The following is a 17,957-nucleotide window of genomic DNA, read 5'->3' as shown; positions in this document are numbered from 1 at the left end:
TGTGGGGATCTGGGGGAAAGAGCCCTTCGGGCAGTGGGAACGGCACGTGCAAAGGCCCTATGGAGGAGGGTGTCCCTGGCTTGTTGGAGGAACAACAGAGAGACCAGTGCACCACCACTGCCGGAGGGAAGAGGGCAGGGGAGAGCAATAGGAGAAGGGGTTAGAGGACATAGGTTACAGGGCTCCAGATCAGGGAGGGCCTTGTGACTTGTGACTCTGAGTGAGATGGGAAGTAACTGGGGAGGCTGATGCGACCAGAGATGTTTTAACAGGTTCCCTCTGGCTGCCGTGTTGAGAAAAGACTGCAAGGGGGAAGGGTGGAAGCGAGGAGAGCAGTTTGGAGGCCCTTTGCAGGAATACAGGGGAGACCAGGGGGTGGCAGTGGGAGGGTGAGAAGTGGTCAGATTCTGGATATTTCTGTAAGTACAGCCAACGGGATTTGCTGGTAAGACTGGGGGTGTGGCAGGAGAGGAAGGAGGGAGAGATGACTCTAAGGTTTTTGTCCTGTGCATTGGGAAGCATGGTAGGGATGTGGGTCTGGAGTGTGGGGGCCAGGTCCAGGCTAGAGATAGGAATTTGCACAGCTGCCCGGCTGTCAGCCCAGGCCCACCACAGAACCACCTCTGGCACTACAATTCCTGTTTGATGCAAGGATGGCTGCTTTTCTTACCTGTCACCCTGTGATGTGAAATCATGCATTTAGAGCAACTTGGTAAATATTAATTTGTCAACAAATATTAGCTATTAATATCAGTATTAAGCCACTCCAAGACACTGGAGAAATACTTAGATGGTGTTTAGCAGTTTGGTACTGTAGGATTCGGATGCTGAGATGGAGTTAGGAGTAGAGGAGGTTTGTTTGGGGGCTGGGGGGATAACACCCTTGAAGGATGAGAGAGCAGAGGAGCAGGGCAGGGAGAGCCTCAGGTGGTGATGCCAGTCTGTCCTGGCCAGCCTAACAGGGGGCTTCTGGACAAAAATTGCTCCATGAAAGCAAAGGGGAGATGCTAGCCAAAGGGCACAAACTTGCAATTACAAGACGAGTTCTGGAGACCTGCTGTGCAGCACGGTAACTAGAGTTAATAATCATGCATTACATACTTAAAATTTGAGAGTAACTCTTGCGTGTTCTTATTACAAAAAGGGAACTCTGTGAGGTGATGAGTCTCTTAATTAGCTTGATTGTGATCGTCATTTCACGGTGTATATATATGTCAGATCATCATGTTGTACACCTTATATTAATACAATTTTTCTTTGTCAATCATACCTCAGTAAGGCTGGAAAAAAAAAAAAAGAAATGGGCAGAAATGGCCAGGCTCTAGGACTGCACTCCCCAGATTAGTGACCAGCTGTTGGCTCCTCAGCGAGAGCATGGCCTCTGCTAGAAAGAAAGCTGAGGCAGATTCCAAAGGTGCAAGTTAGTTCTTTCCTTCTTCTTCTTCTTCTTCTTCTTCTTCTTTTTTTTTGTTTGTTTTTGGAGACAGGGTCTCACTCTGTTGCCCAGGCTGGAGTGCAGTGGCGCGATCATGGCTCACTGCAGCCTCGACCTCCAAGGCTCAAGTGATCCTCCCACCTCAGCCTCCTGAGTAGTTGGGACTACAGGCGCGTACCACCACATCTAGCTAATTTTTTGTTGTTGTCTTTTGAGACAGAGTCTCTCTCTTTCACCCAGGCTGGAGTGCAGTGGTGCGATTTTGGCTCACAGCAACCTCCGCCTCCCGGGCTCAAGCGATTCTCCTTCCTCAGCCTCCTGAGTATCTGGGACTACAGGCGTGCACTAACACACCTGGCTAATTTTTGTATTGTTTGTAGAGACAAGGTTTCACCATGTTGCCCAAGCTGGTCTTGAATTCCTGAGCTCAGGTGATCCGCCCACCTTGTCTTCCCAATGTGCTGGGATTACAGGTATGAGCCACCATGCCCAGCCCCAGCTATTTTTTTTTTTTTTTTTTTTGTAGAGACGGGGTCTCACTATGTTGCCCAGGCTGGTCTCAAACTCCTGGGCTCAAGCAATCCTCCTGCCTCAGCCTCCCAATGTGCTGGGATTACAGGTGTGAGCCACTATGCTGGCCAAGTTCTTTCTTGAAGGAACATATGGGCAGTACATCTTTAGGGCTACCCAGAAGACATTTTGTTTCACTTTAGCTTCTTAACTCACAAAGGGATATGAAATAGTATATTGCCCCACTCGCAGGCTAAGGGGTAAATTTCATCATCTTTATGCCACTGAGGGAGATGAGATAAATTCTTGAGGAGAGTTCAGGGAGAGTGAAGGTGAAGATGTGAAAGTCTCTTTAATGTGTAGTCACAACATGTACTAGCACAAAAGTCACACAAACACACAGTTATTTGTGGAATGAGGTGTATGAAGTCAGCCCGTTTTTGCTCTTAGCTGTCTATTTTGCTCGTCATGAAGGAGAGCTTTTCATTATTGTCATACTTCCTCTGGGACCACCAGGATTTTCTCATGAAGACTAACAAAGAGATGATATCATGTGTCTGGGAGTCAGGGTGAAAAACAAAGTGGGCTTGCCTGAGTTTGTAAGCTGAGAAGTTGTCCGAGTCAAACCACATCCTGCCCTGGGTTTCTAGAGGCAGGTGGTCCCAGATGGAGACCCAGAGCGGGAGGAACTGTGCCAATGCTTTCCTAAGAGCCATGCTCAGTTCCCAGGAGGTGTGGGGGAGGCCCTGGTGACTATGTCCTCTTTACACTGAAGTTTTCTTCTAGGGAGGCCACAACTCACTGGTTGCCAGTAAAGGTTGTGAAGTTGGTTCCAGTTCCAGTTGTGGCTGTGCTGTGAACCAGCTGTGCCACTGGTGGCCATGCTGAAGCTCTTGGGGTTGTACTTTTCCTGGCTGTCAAACGAAGCCATGGTCAAGGTCTGAGATAGCTAGTGCAGGTAGGTAGTATCGGCGCAGTGGGGGCCAAGTCAAAACCAAAGAGGGACTGTTTTTGCGTATCATGGAAGAAAAAGTAAATTAACATTAAAACCATGTTTAAAATATTTATTAGATGTACATTTTAGTTGTGATTATACTACAACATAATTGGAATTGATGAAGTATTAACATGTGAACATATTCTTAGCAAAGCTGGACATGTTTGGAGAGTACCTTGTCAAGAGTGTGATGCCTGCTGCCGAAGGCTTCGGTCCAGTGGGATTTGCTTTCTGACCAGATAAGATTTTATCTAAGAGACAACATCCAAAATCAATAGGCTGACAGATTATTGGTAAAAGATACATTACAGCTGTTTAAAACCATAAACGCTATCAAGTTCTAACTGCTAAGCCTGTAGTCATATTGTAATATCGGGACCCTCATGGGCACAGATATGAAAGGAATCAGGATGGTAGCTGTCGTTCTGTAATTGCTGTTTAACAGCCTGGCTTATATTCATGATTCAATCTTTTTTTGTTTTTTTCTTGCTTCCACAATTCAATCCTTATTTCTGTAAGCTGCAAAATCGTGAGTGTGCGCACAAGTTTTTTTCTCCCCCGGTCTTGAAACTGGAATAATTGCCAATCTGCTTATTAAAAAAATACATCTGCCCTATGAAAGTAGTTTCAGCTACTCTGTGTTAAATGAGTGATTATGACATTGGGCTCTGGTGGCACGTAATACTAATGCTGAAACGCTTGAATATGGAGGTTAGTGTGGTTTCAGATGTTGAGAAATCACTTCTTTGTGCTTATTGACATTTTTCCAAGGACTGCTCTGTTATTTGGCTTAAAATGTCACATGACAGCTGATCTCTTTGGTGCATATAATCCATGCAATTATAGTGTGAGCTTCTGCTGTCAGTGGTGGTTAAAAATCCATATACCTCACTCCTTTTTTAGCCTCTGATTTTTTTTAATTCAATTTAACTCATCCTTTTATTTTAAAACTTGAATTTGAATGGGTTCCATTAACAGATATTTTAAGGTGACAATCAAGTCTAGGGCGCTGCCAGCTTGAAGCTGAACACAGTCCCTAGCCCTCAAGCTGGATGTGAGATCTAATTTAGGGCATGTTGCAATGCAGAGATGTAGCTGATTTGTAAACAGCCCTTGTGACAACGTAATACAGTTGACAAGTGATGGTTCTCAGGCAGGGTGAAGTGTGTTATCTAGCTGTCTGAGTGATCACCCTGATTGCAGTTCCACCTGGGGTTCATCTCACAGAGCCACACAGGATAATTAAAGCCACAGATTCATCATTGGTAGATTCAGCCCATTTTAGTCTCATTACAGACAAATTTAGTCCTGTCTTCATTCATTATAATGAAAGTCACACGAAGATTCACTTTACTATAAACTATATTCTTTTTCCCTTTTAAATGGAACGTACAAGTGAATGTTAAAGTATAAAAGTACTTGCAAGTCACTCGCTTTGCTAATGAGAATGTATGCAAATGTGGTGCATGTTTGCCTTTCCTGGACTCAGCCCTGTGACCCATCCCTGTGTCTGTCCTGATGGCAGGGATTGGTAGATAACTTATGTTGGCCCATCTCTTCCCAGAGTGGCTAGAATGGTCTTACGGACATAGAAGGACATGTTAAATATTCATCTGGTTTAATTGAATTTAATACACAATCCTTAAGATTAATCTGCACTTCTGGAGTTATTAAATGGCTCACTTTTTAGTAGCATATCATTTATTTGCTATTATCTGAGATAGTGAATTATTTAAGTAAAAAGGGAATGTTCTTTCCATGAGGTGGATCTTACCAAGCTGCTGCTGCTTTCATTTACAGGCGATTACCAATTATATTAAATTAGGAATGTGGGTAAAAGGAAGCATGGCCGTCTGAAGGTTTAAGATGTTTGGTTACTAGGTGTTGCATAATGTACTGCAATCTGGGATCTGGCACTTGCTGGTTGACCTATGGTCTGCTGGCACATGCATTATTAATTATCGTTTTCCATGAATATTAATGATGGTTGGATATCAGTTTAAAGAATAGTGAATCAATTAACATGTAATTTTCATATACTTTGATTTATAAACATGCACATTTTAAGATACATTTGTTTTCTTTTAGAACATTAATTTTTCCATTTCAGTTTCTCCTTTCCCTTGATACTGACTTTTTTTTTCTTTCTTTCTTTTTTTGAGACAAGTCTTGCTCTGTCGCCAGGCTGGAGTGCAGTGGTGCGATCTCGGCTCACTGCAACCTCCGCCTCCCGGGTTCAAGTGATTCTCCTGCCTCAGCCTCCCGAGTAGCTGGGATTACAGGTGCACGCCACCACACCCAGCTAATTTTTTGTATTTTAGTAGAGACAGGGTTTCACCATGTTGGCCAGGATGGTCTTGATCTCCTGACCTCGTGATCTGCCTGCCTCGGCCTCCCAAAGTGTGGGGATTACAGGCGTGAGCTACCGTGCCTGGCTGATACTGACATTTAATGGTGTATTGGAGTGATTTATATTTTTTCAGGACAATTTCTGAAGCGTTGCCAAAAATGCTGGTTGTATTTTAAAATTCAGGTGATTTCTGTAAGTTATTGAACAAGAACCAAGTGCTGTACACATACCTCAGTCTATTTATATTATAGTACTCTTTTCTACCATGGCCACCTACAACTTAATTTTATAATTTGAAATGTTACTGAACCATGAAAATATAAAAGAGCATATAACCAACATCTAGCTACCCACTACCTAGTTCTATCAAATGTTGCCATTTTGTCATACTTACTTCTGATCCTTAAAAAAATAAATAAGTAGACTTCTGATTTCAGCTCAGAGATGTAGAGAGCTGCAAAGATGTCCCTCCCACGCTTCCAAGAAAAAATCTGGACAGATTGGAAATTAACAGAGAACTGAGTTTGCAGAGCAAACGACCATTTCAAAATCTGGAAAGAGGTGCCTTCTGAGACACAGGACAGGACCTGAGCATTTGTTTACAGGAGCAGAAGCCACCAGACCCCATAGAAGTAGGTAGGAAGATTAAGCTAGAAAATTTGACAAATTGCTGGAGGCTGAGTGTGGGCTAACTTGAGAGTGTGAAGTCTTGAGGGCAGCAGTTGTGGGGGAGGGGGTCCTATCCCTTTGCAGGCTTTTCTTCCAGGAACCCCATTTGGCTCTAACTGGGAGGGTGAGGGAAAATTCAGAGAAAACTCATGGTGCTGGCTCAGGAACCACTGAGCAATCTACTTAGACCCTTCTCCTTTAAGGAGCAAAAGGCTTATTCTGCAGAGGAAGGCTATGGTCTGAGGGCCCTGGTGAATTAACCATTGCAGATGGGGGATGGAGCTCCCCTTCAGCCCCTTCCCCACTCCATCTCACCTAAAAAAAAAGGTCTTTAAGCGGGTGGTAGACTGAGAACATTGGTGATACCTGCTACAGCTGGGGGTTTGGGGTGGGAGGAGCTGTATCCCTAGGGCAAATACGTTGTGAAGCCTACACCTTCAAGACACAGGCCCGCTGTGTATATTTTAGAGACTGAGACTTGAAATATTAGAGAACTGCCCTTCTTCCCTCACCCCACCTGCAGGCTAGCAAGCCCCCAGGAATAACAGTGGGTTACAGCAGGGAGAGCTGCAAGAGACAGGCTCACACTGGGAACAGCATAAAGGAAAGCCCCAAAGCCAAGAGAGGGGACAAAAAAGGTCACTAGAGGAATTTGAAGTTTTTGATGTTCATAGGAACAACAAACCTCAACGCAGCTCAACTCCTGACTAGATTAATATCAGTTCCACACTAAGGGCTCATTTACCTTAGTATCTGCTACCTTCTATGAAATGTCTGGCTTTCAACCAAAAATTACAAGGCATGCCAAAAGGCAGGTAAAAGCAGTCTGAAGAGACAAAACACTCAGTAGAACCAGATGCAAATGCGATATAGCTGCTGCAACGATCAAAACACACATGTATCTTACCTAGCTCTGTCCACTGAGTGCCCTTTCTGTGACAGGTGCCATTTTAGGAGCCATTTCAGAATGAGCTTAACAAGGTCTGAGCTTTTAGAGAGCTTACACTCCAACAGAGTACAGAGAGCTTAACCACAGACAAGTGAAAAGATAATTATAGATAGTGAAACATGCAGCCATGAAGAAACACAGGAGAGGAAAAGGCTAGAGTGGCTAGAGTGGCTGGTGGAGTGTGTGGGCTGTTTCAGGTGAGGAGAAGTTGGAGCCCACACGTGAATGATGAGGAAGAGGCTCCTGCCATTGCTAAGAGCCATCCAAGCAGAGAACAAGAAGCATAATTGCCCAGAGGCGTGAACAAGGTTGGATCCTCCCTCGGTCTGCACTGTTGCCTTGGAAGGTAAAAACGCTATGGGCATGGTGCTGATTACAGCAAGCTTTACAATTGTGTTGCTGTCATGGCCAACCTCTAGGGATAAAGTGGTGGGTGAGTTTTCTTTAAACATGTGTAAGAATTACCTGTCTTCCTCCATTTTGAGGGACAAGGAGAATCTGTTAGATCTTGTTTGTAACCACTTCAGGACCTGGTACAGGGTGAAAAGGAATGTGAATTTGCAATTGTGAGTAGATACTGCATCATTTATCCAGTGCAACTGTATTGTTCTTTGTATTAACTCAGCTACTCCTTACCCTCCATCCCTTGCCCCAAGTAGTGATTATTCCTATGTTATAGATGGGAAAACTGAAGCTCAGAGAGGTTGCCTGACTTGAAGATTGCAGATCTATTAAGGGTCAACCCAGTTATTTGAACTCTGGCAGCCTGACTTCCCAGGATTGTGTTGTGAGAACTAATTAGAAGGACAGGTATTCTTAAAAGTGGAGCCTCTGATGAAAAAGAAAACCGAAAACCAAACATAGTTGTAAAATTCACGTACTAAGTTTATGTGAAAACATTGGCTGCTGAAACTGCCTAAGGAAATGGATTTAGTAAATGCATGTTGAACTATCTATCACTTGTTCATTTGTCATGAGTGCTTAAAATAGATGAAAATGGGTAAATAGTTGCAACGTCCCAATTTCTGCTGTGTCTTACTACACAGCAGAATACTATACAGTGTTATTGTATAGTATTAATACCGTGAGGGCAATGTTGTCTGACACTTCCCTACCTGGAACATTCTGGAAATCACTTTTTGTGATCTCAATAACTGTTAAGTAATTGGTACCAGTCTAGTGGGTTGTTTTGTTTTTGAGATGGAGTCTCGCTGTGTCGCCCAGGCTGGAGTGCAGTGGCGCGAACTCGGCTCAGTGCAACCTCCGCTTCCCTGGTTCAAGCGATTCTCCTGCCTCAGCCTCCCAAGTAGCTGGGATTACAGGTGCACACCACCATGCCCAGCTAATTTTTGTATTTTAGTAGAGACAGGGTTTCACCATGTTGGCCAGGCTGGTCTCGAACTCCTGACCTCAAGTGATCCACCTGCCTCAGCCTCCCAAAGTGCTGGGATTACGGGCATAAACTACTGTGCCTGGCCCAGTCTACTGTTTTGTAGACTGCATTTTTCACCTGCTCAAATGCTTTTCATACTTTTTCTATAGTAGTGTTTATTTTTTGAGAAGATATGAGACATAAAATAAATGAACCATATTAAGTACATGACTGGAGAGGGAGACTGTTACATTGGATTAAGAAGATGCTTGTATCCATTGGTTTTTGTTTTTCACCATTAGGGGAAGAAAAACACCTTCCCAAGAGTACCTTTCTTGATACACCAAAAGGTTGCTGGTATTTGGTAATGATATATTCATTGAGGGAAATACCAGGTGAATGGAGAGTTCTTCAACCATTAGCAATAACTGAGCACCCACTGTGTGCATAGTTCCTTTATCTGTACCATTCATGGGACTGCATGTTAGATGAGGAAAACAGCAAACAGCAAATTTTTATATAGCACTTCCCAGGGACCAGAGACATTAAGTAAGTTGCCCAAGGGAGCACAGATTGTAAATGGCAGGTCTCGACGTGGGCTGGTGGGTGGCTTAACTCCAGAGTCTGTGTTCTCTCACCCCTAATTGTACTATGGTATAGCATTGTCTGGGTGGCCTTGGCTATGTTCACAAACCTCAAACCAGACGGTAATTAGCATGAGGGGCACCCAAATCTGTCAGGTTCGGAGAACTTCTGGGAGTCTTGGCTGAGCTCTGTGATAGGGTACTGTGAGGTGTTTTTTTTTTTTTTTTTTTAATATGCAGCCATGTCTTAATTGAAACCACAACTTCCTGTGGATGCCTTATGATGTTATTTGAACAAGGGAAATAAGCACATGAATCTTTAAAAAGTTTCAAGTATGTTGATTTTTAAGAATGGATGCAATTAGTAGTTCTCATTAGCTCCACAAATTATTTACCGTGGAATGCTTTGGTTCCACATAAAGCCCTTTAACGCTAAAAGATTTTGCAGGTTCTGCTGCTTTGACTATCTAGAGCTGATTTCGACTGGCAGCTTTAAACATGCGCAGTAATGCAAGTGCCGATGCTGCCAGCACAAATGGAACAATGTATTGCTTTAATTTAAAAAACAGGCTTTGTCTCATTTTTGACTCCCTTTACATTTAATCTGACTAGTCATGTTTTCTAGGAGGATGGTGAGGGTGAGAGCAGGATTTGACTCTGTTGTTCATCAATAAAGATCCTGGAAAAAACTGGAATGTGAATTTTGATTGTGCCCTCCCATTTGTAAAGGGGAAACAAACAAAAAACAAAAACCCTAGAAGATTCTGAGGCCAGACGACAGTGTAGCCTTAGGCTGCCTAAACTCAGATGTGCCCTTCTTCCTAGGATCTTGTTAAAAGGCAGATTGTGATGGCAGCGGGTGGGGGGGGGGGGGTAGGGTTTGGGCTGGGGGCGGGTAGGTTTGGGGAAGCTGAGATTCTGCAGTTCTAAGAAGCTCCCAGTCGATCCTCCTTTTAGTAGCAATAATTTCTGACACTTTAGACCTAGCTCTCTATCTTCTGGCTGTGTGGATCACCTGGGGGAGTTTAAACAACACAGTTTCTCACAGCCACACCAGACCTATTGAATCAGATCTCTGCAGGGGTGAAACCAGCAGGTATTTGGGGAAAAAAAAAAAAGCTATAGAAATCATTTGATAATACATCTGCCAGCTTTGTTTATTGGGGATGGGGGAGTAATGACAGCTTTGAAAACTTCACTGTTGGAATCAGATTGAGATGTTTAAAGTTAAGCTTTTTGACATCCTAAGGGCTTCCACTCCAAAACTACATGAGCTATCTTAGCAGCCACCCATCTTGGAAGGGAACTCACTAGTTCTTTATGAGTATGTCCAAACTGGCTTAGATCAGAGAGAGTGGAGGAAAAAAAGAGTACTTAATGGTTAGCTTGCTGACCTGCCTAGCATTAGATAATGTCTGTGAAGGCCCCTGGAGTGCCTCCAGGGAAGCCGGGGCCCAAATATGGAAAAGAGAAGTCATGATTATGAGGTAGGAGTTGCAATTACCATCGTGAATATTTAAAGTGTTATTTCAGCTCTTTCCTACGCTCCTGGGTTTGGGGTTTCATTTCTTTTTCCTTTTTTTTTAATATGGATTCTCACTCTGTCGCCCAGGCTGGAGTGCGGTGGCGCGATCTTAGCCTACTGCAACCTCTGCCTCCCGAGTTCAACTGATTCTCCTGCCTCAGCCTCCCGAGTAACTGGGATTACAGGCACCCGCCACCATGCCTGGCTAATTTTTTGTATTTTTAGTAGAGATGAGGTTTCACCGTGTTAGTCAGGATGGTCTCGATCTCCTGACCTCGTGATCCGCCTGCCTCGGCCTCCCAAAGTGTTGGGATTACAGGCGTGAGCCACTGTGCCCAGCCTGGGGTTTCATTTCTAGCAGTGTGTGGGGAGCCAGGACAGGTTAGAAAGAAGGGCCAGGGGATGTCTTTGTTGTGATAAAGCAGATACCACCATGGAGTTTTGCCACTTTCACGGTATGATTTTATTTTATTTTATTTTTTTTGATAACTGAGACACCCCAGCAAGTGTCTTCTTAACATTTCGTAAATCTTACTATTAATCTTTTCCCCTGAGGTCAAGCAGGAAGATAAGACACCAGGTAGAGACTTAGCTTTCGCCCTCCTCAAGCTATTGTGTCTCTCTTTTAACTTGGAGTCTTTCTTTAAAACCAAGTGTTTCCCAGTGTTGCGTGTGTGACTTTTCTTAACTCCTTACATTATCTAAGGATTAAAAAAATAAGGGGCTGGGTGTGGTGGCCTATGCCTGTAATTCCAGTGCTTTGGGAGGTCAAGGCAGGAGGATCACTTGAGACCAGGGGTTTGAGACCAACCTGGCCAACATAGCGAGACCTTGTCTCTACACTAAATTTAAAAATTAGCCAGGCATGGTGGTGTGTGCCTGGCTTGGCACTTGGGAGGCTGGGGTGTGGGAGGATTGCCTGAGCCCAGGAGTTAGAGACCAGCCTGGACAACATAGTGAGACAATGTCTCTAAAATAAATAAGGGAAACCTCACAATCAGAAAAATAAAAAAAGTTGGACATTCCCTGTCTTCCTTTTCTGAAGCTTCTACGGTGAGAGATGTTGTGCATTGTCACCATGAACTTCTGTGTCAGGGAGGGTTGGAGCCGAGAAGCAGAGCGCTAAGTGTGATCTGGATAAGGGATTTCCTGCACGTTGTGGAAGCTGCCAGTGCAAGCTGCCCCCTGTGTCCTGTACTGAGTCTGAAGTCGCTGGAGGAAGGTGGGTGTGGATGAGAGCAAGGACTCCTGGAACCTGCCTCTGGCTCTCACGCCCCCAACCTCAATGACACAGTGCCCTGTGGGAGAGATTGGTGCCCTTCCCGAAAGAGAAAGATTAGCCCAGTCCAGTGGGCATCTGTTGAGTGTCTGCTATGTCTTGAGAGCTGTTCTGGGCCCCGGGGGAGAGCATGAGGGGAGAGACTGACCTGGAAGCACACTTTTCCAACCCGTTGTGGTGCGTGCCCAGTACGCTAAGGGAGCACAAAGGGAGGGGGACCTAAGAGCCTGGGGCAGAAGAGGAAGGAATTTGATCAGGTGAAGAGGACGGGCCAGAGCCCAGAGCGAGTGAGAATGAGGGTATAGTGTGAGTGTGAACAGAGGCCTACAGCTTGATGAGTACCTAGAAATAAGCCTTGCCAGAGTAAAATGGGAAGCAAGGCCAGAAGGTGAGAGGGATCTTGCACGCCCTTGAAAGGAACTTGGACTTTTGGGGTAATTGGGAACCACTGAGGCAGGATTCTAAGCAGGGGTATGCCGCACCGTCACATGTGGATGGAGGAAAGTTCCTTCAATCTGTGACCTCTCCTGAATGAGCACCTGCTCCCAGGCAAGGTTTTTATTTATTTTTATTTTATTTTAATATTTTGGAGTGCAGTGGTGCAATCTTGGCTCACTGCAACCTGCGCCTCCCAGGTTCCAGTGATTCTTGTGCCTCAGCCTCTCGAGTAGCTGGGACTACAGACATGCGCCACCACAACTGGCTAATTTTTGTGTTTTCTTGGTAGAGACCGGGTTTCCTTGTGTTGGCCAGGCTGGTCTCGAACTCCTGGCCTCAAGTGATCCGCCCACCTGGGTCTCCCAAAGTGCTGGGATTACAGGCATGAGCCACCGCACTGAGCCTCCAGGCATGTTCCCCACTGGCCACCCCTCCCCGAGACAGAGCCTTGCTCTGTCGCTCAGGCTGGAGTGCAGTGGTGTGATCTTGGATCACTGCAACCTCTGCCTCCTGGGTTCAAGTGATCCTTCTGTCTCAGTCTCCCAAGTAGCTGGGATTACAGGCACCTGCCATCATGCCCAGCTAATTTTTCTGTATTCTTAGTAGAGACAGGGTTTCTCCATGTTGGCCAGGCTGGTTTCAAACTCCTGACCTCAAGGGATCCGCCCACCTCAGCCTCCCAAAGTGTTAGAATTACAGGCGTGAGACACTGCACCTGGCCCAGGCAAGGTTTTAGAAACAGCTTTGAGGTCTAATTTACATGCCATGATATTGACCTAATGAGTATCCCAGTCAGTGCTTTTTAATATATTTACAGAGTTGTGTGACCATCTTCACAATCTAATTCTTGAACATTTCCATCACCCCCAAAAGAAACCTGTGCCCATTTGCAGTCACTCTCCATTTCCACGCTCAGCCCTAGGCAACCACTCACCTTTGTAATTTCTCCTTTTTCTTTAAGGAGAATGTTTTCTGCAAATGTATTATTTACTTTAAGGAGTCTCCCAAATTATAAACTCTTACTCTTGGCTACCCGGTTAGTTACTGCTTAGCCTGTTCCTCCCAGCACACTTGAGATTGCATGGAACAGAAACCTGTCTGGGACTGCCTTAAACACAGACATTTGTTATTTTGCATAATTGGGAGGCTAGAGGTAGGGTGGACCCCAGGGGCAGTGTGATCAGCTGCTCAGTGTGACATCAGAAACCTGTGTTCTTGCTGTCTCTTCCCCCACCGTGTTGTTCTGGCAGTAGCTTCACCCAAGGGCTGGCTTCCCTGTGGTCATCAGATGGTTGTAGAATGGTGTCCATCTGCAGTGGGGCCCTTTGCTTCCTTGCTCACAGCCCGTATGTAGGAGGAGTTATTTCTTGCAGTCTGATTGGGTGAGCTTTGTTCCCCCTGCCCACCCTGAAGCAATGATTGGCTTAGAATTAATTAGGCTGTCCTTCCTAGAGCTGGAAATGGGCTCCATGGGGGAATGGATGGCACCTGTGACCAGGAGTGGGCTCTGCTGGGGAAGGAGGAAGGGAGCCAGCTCTACTGGGTAGGCAACCAGCAGTGCTCACTGAGGGTTCCTGACCAACTGCATTGGATTGTTTGTTTCCTTTCACTTGGGGGCCTTTTTTATGTTAAATGCAAGCAAGGTGATCCTCTGATTTTGAACTTGTTATCTGGGGGAAGGCAGACCAATCCCAGTTCATCCTGGCTGAGTGACAGCGGATTTGATCGTTGATCTCAATAGGCTTGAGAGTAATAATATGTGAGTATTTTTGAAGCTGACCCTAACTTTACATCTCTGAAAAGTATCAATTCAGATCTCACTAATTCAGGAGGTTCTGATAATTTGGTCAAGAAGTTCGCTGAAGTTTACCTTTGAACAGTTTTATAGTGAGGGTAATATTGGTGATGGTGGTAACACTAACATATGTGGGAAATAAATGATTTGAGTAACATTCGAAAAACCTGTTTGCTTTAGGATAGAAATATCTAAATATACGACTAGAAGTAAATAGTAGAAAATCATTCCTATCTAGTTATTAACTTAGTCCCTTGGAATCTCTCCTTGGGGAAAAAATAAAATCCTGCTCTGACTATGTCAGTATTTGAATTACTGTATGAACCTGAAATTAACAAAAATGGACTTTCAAGTATAATTCATGCTTCACTGAGCCAAATAGACATTCTGCCAGTTATTTGGACTTTATTAAATTTTACTTTATTACTTATATGTAATAAAAAATCAAGGTAAGCCTCTGCTTTGCGAAGTCATTTATTTGATTAGGAGCTGTATTTTAGAGTGCATTTCAGGGCGAGGTTTGTCCACATGTAAGTAATGAACGTTTGCTGGTGCAGCTCGTAATGGTGAGAACGGATGTTGAAGAAAGCAAACACCATATGCCCTTTGTTTCCCGTGCATGTCCTCTTCTGGAGGCCTGGGTGGAGTGTTTCAGCTGTCTCAAATAATCTCCATTTTGCTGTTACTGCAGACTCTGCGGTTCTCCAGCTCTCTCCTCTCTGATGTTAATTATAACTTCTTCCTAATTAGGTGGCTCTTCCTCCTCCTCAGTCATACAGGTTCCACACTCTCAAGTGCCAGAGATTGGATTACTTTTCACTTGATTTGCGACAGAAATAAGTGCAAAGAATTACAAAAAAACCACCAGTGTGAGTGTGTAGTGGGAGGGGCAGGCGGGTTGGGTACGGGACAGGATGCTTAGAATAATTTTGCTGCCAAGTGAATCAGAGAGACTTGCAGTTCTCGGAGAGCACGGAACTTATTCCTGCCCAGAGTTCAGACACAGCCAGAAATTACCATTTCATACTTCACAGAATGGAGGTTTCAGCAGCCAAAGCCCCAAGTGCCGCAGACTTGTCTGAGATTGTAAGTAGGCCATACATCTGTTTTGATTGTTGCGATGTCTGCATCTTTTGTAGCCTGTTGCCCGACTACTTTGTAGGCCAGGAGGGAGGCATGATGGGGAATTTGGTCTCAGGCCAGTCCTTCCAAGATGGTGACCAACACTGTTTTCCACTTGGCCCCAGGTCTCAGTTTTCTGGTTTATAGCCGAAGGGTATTTCTTTCACTAAGCCCTTGTCTGTGATAGAAGTGGATTCTTTGGCTGAGTTCCTTTTGTAGTGGCATTTATAAAGATTTTGAATAGCTCTGTCATCTGGTTTGGTGGCTCTTTCCCTCTCTGATCACTATCGACAGCCAGGTGAGTTTTCTCCAGGGGACACGGCACACAGATAGCTGCATTCAACCAAACCCCCTGCAGGCATCCATTTCTGCAGTGAGGTACCCCTCTCAGGGGTTGGGAGCAGGTAACATTTCTGATGCAGCTGGCAGATCTGGGAATCTAGGGGGGAAGCCAGGTGTGGAATTTAGCTTTCCTGTAGTGTGAAGAAATAAAGGGGGTGGGGGTAAGAATGAGATGGGAGACAGGAGAGAAAGTCAGCTTGGGGTCTGTCAAGAGCACTGTCCTGTTGCCAGATGCCAACTGAGGTGTCGGGAGAGGTTCAGTTCCCCACTCAGCTAACTGTGCAGCCATGGGCTGCTAACCAAGATCTCTCCAAGTCTTACTTTTCTCATCTGAAAATCTGCATCCTACCACCTCGCAGGACTACTGGATTGTTTAAAGTAATGAATGTGAAGGCACCTGGTGCTTGGTTGCCATCCTTCTCCTTTTCCATGGCACTCTATGCCATAAATGCAAGCAGTGTGCTGGGCTCTGTGAGATGCCACCAGTGTTGCTGTCCTGGCTTGTTTCAGGCCATCTTTTGTGGCCACCAAGTTCTCATGGTCAGTGTCATAGGTTTGATCTTGGGGTTGGCCAGTTGGCCTTGCTTAAGTATGTAGCCCCAGGTTGCCCTTTTAGTCATGGCCAGGTGACCCGCCTCCCAAAACAAGGTCCTGGGGAAAGGGTATGAGTGAGTCATGGTTATGTCTCATAGCTAACGTTTAAGTTAAAGATGATGGGAACTGAGGACCCAAGTTAGGAGGCTGTGTTACAGGTCCTTGGGGAGAGTGATAATTCAAAAGACCCCTTTCCCGTCCAGCTTTGAGTTTCCAACTTATTAAAACCTATATTCAGCCAGAGGGAGGGAGAAGGAAAACAAAAGGTAAACCTCGGCCAGGCACAATGGTTTATGCCTGTAATTCCAGCACTTTGGGAGGCCGAGGCAGGAGGATCGCTTGAGCCCAGGAGTTCGAGACCAGCCTGGGCAACATGGTGAGACCCTGTCTCTACCAAAAATAAAAAAAAATTAGCCAGGAATGGTGACACACGCCTGTAGTCCCAGCTACTCAGGAGGCTGAGGCTGGAGGATTGACTGAGCCTGGGAGGTCGAGGCTGCAGTGAGCCATGATCACGCTACTGCACTCCAGCCTGGGTGATAGGAGTGAGACCCTGTGTCAAAAAAATAAAAATAAAAATAAACCTTGATTGAAAACTGCCGAGCAGTCATCTGAATTCTGATTCAGAAGTACATGTAGGACACCGTCATGGTACTTTTCCATTGTGTTGTTTCATTTAATGTGTTTATGAATTTAGGCAGCCACCATGCACGTCGGTCAAGCCCCAGTTGCCTTTCGTGTGTGTGTGTGTGTGTGTGTGTGTGTGTGTGTTTAGGGCACTTTCTAGAGCCTGCTTTGTTAATTAACTGTACTATGTGCTTTATATTTGCTGTGAGTTAATTACCGATGATAGTGTTCCCTTGCCAGTCACAAGTTCTCTCACCCCTTTCCCCCATTGAATTCCTCATATTTCATCTCATCCATAGGCTCAAGTTGTTTGTCTTTGACTGGCAAGACTCCTCAATAATCGTGTATCAGTGATCTCTGACACAGTGCTAACTTTTATCACTGATTACGGAGAGACATTGTATAAATCATCAGGACAGTTTGTTTTGCGTATGATGATTTAAGAGCACCTCTTAACCAACATCAAAGTAATATATCAGAGTGCCAACCTTCGGTACTTTTCTTTTGCTTTTCATTGAAATCCACTTTCTTTTCTATGGTCTACTGGGCCTCGTATGGTCTGGCTTTGCCTACCTTTTCAGCCTCATCGGGGTCATCTTCCCACTCGGCCACTGCCTTCTGCCATATTGAGTTCTCGCCTGTCCCAGCACTGTCTCTGCGTCTGGTCACTTGCAATTCTCACTGCTGGGAATGCCCCTTTTTTTCTTTTTGGCTCCTTGCTTGGCTGGCCCTTTCTCTTCTTTCAGGTACCACTCTGAGCAGCCCTCCAGGGCCATCTTGTCTCAAGGGCCAGCCTCCATCTTGAGTTTCCTTTCTCCATTCCCATCACATCACCACATTTATTTCCTTTGCAGTCCTTATATCACAGCCTGTAAATATTTTGTTAACTCATTGATGGACTTGGTATTTGATGTCTCTCCCACCAGAATTTTAGCTCCATGAGGGCAGGGGCCTTGTCTGTCTTATCCCTACCATATCCCCAGCTCTTAACTCAATTCTAGATGCATAGTAAATGCTCAACAGATATTTGTTGAATGAATAGTTGCTTTGGATAATTAACACGGTGAATTACTTTTAAGTAGTTTGTGACTGCAAGCTGATAGAGCCAGTCCCATGTTTTATGTGGCTGGCCCCCTCCCCATCTGCATCCATCACTGCTCTGGCACTTTGGGAGCATTTCAGACCCCAGGGCACTATTTCTCTGTCTTGGCCAGCCCCTGGCTGGTGTCTGGGATAACCCTCTGTTTTAAGCATCATTTTTGTTCTCAAAATGAAAACCACCTGTCTTCAACGTGATTTGCTTAAAATAAATGCTTTATTTCTTTACTGAGACCTTCTTCCCTTTCTGCCTTTCTCCACCTCCTGCCAA

General features: G+C 45.0%; 1 protein-coding gene across 21 annotated transcripts in view, besides 2 other annotated features; it reads left to right on the top strand.

Annotated features, from left to right (window-relative positions):
• Positions 1-17,957, top strand: part of SH3KBP1 (SH3 domain containing kinase binding protein 1) — a 353,624-nt gene that overhangs the window by 72,978 nt on the left and 262,689 nt on the right. For 3 of the 21 annotated variants that reach the window (XM_047442047.1, NM_001024666.3, XM_011545499.4), the window contains exon 1: positions 14,850-14,989. The exons of the other annotated variants lie outside the window; for them this stretch is intronic. In XM_047442047.1, the coding sequence (XP_047298003.1) occupies positions 14,939-14,989 (51 nt within the window). In that variant the 5' untranslated portion in view covers positions 14,850-14,938. Of the gene's footprint in view, positions 1-14,849; positions 14,990-17,957 lie in introns of those variants that run through there. 21 annotated transcript variants of the gene reach the window in all.
• Positions 2,441-2,490: an enhancer, noted in NCBI's record as "active region_29468". NCBI's record gives its function as "activates an Ori minimal core promoter by ATAC-STARR-seq in GM12878 lymphoblastoid cells {active_cell/tissue: GM12878}" and the evidence as "EXISTENCE:reporter gene assay evidence [ECO:0000049][PMID:35858748]".
• Positions 11,141-12,061: an enhancer, noted in NCBI's record as "H3K4me1 hESC enhancer chrX:19820680-19821600 (GRCh37/hg19 assembly coordinates)". NCBI's record gives its function as "activates a minimal SCP1, AML or CMV promoter by ChIP-STARR-seq in naive H9 embryonic stem cells {active_cell/tissue: H9 hESC(naive)}" and the evidence as "EXISTENCE:reporter gene assay evidence [ECO:0000049][PMID:30033119]".

The sequence above is a fragment of the Homo sapiens genome, chromosome X (genome assembly GCF_000001405.40).
Source record: "Homo sapiens chromosome X, GRCh38.p14 Primary Assembly".
Lineage (NCBI taxonomy): Eukaryota > Metazoa > Chordata > Mammalia > Primates > Hominidae > Homo > Homo sapiens.
The sequence above is the reverse complement of the archived record's forward strand: the minus strand, read 5'-3'. Positions and strand labels throughout refer to the sequence as shown.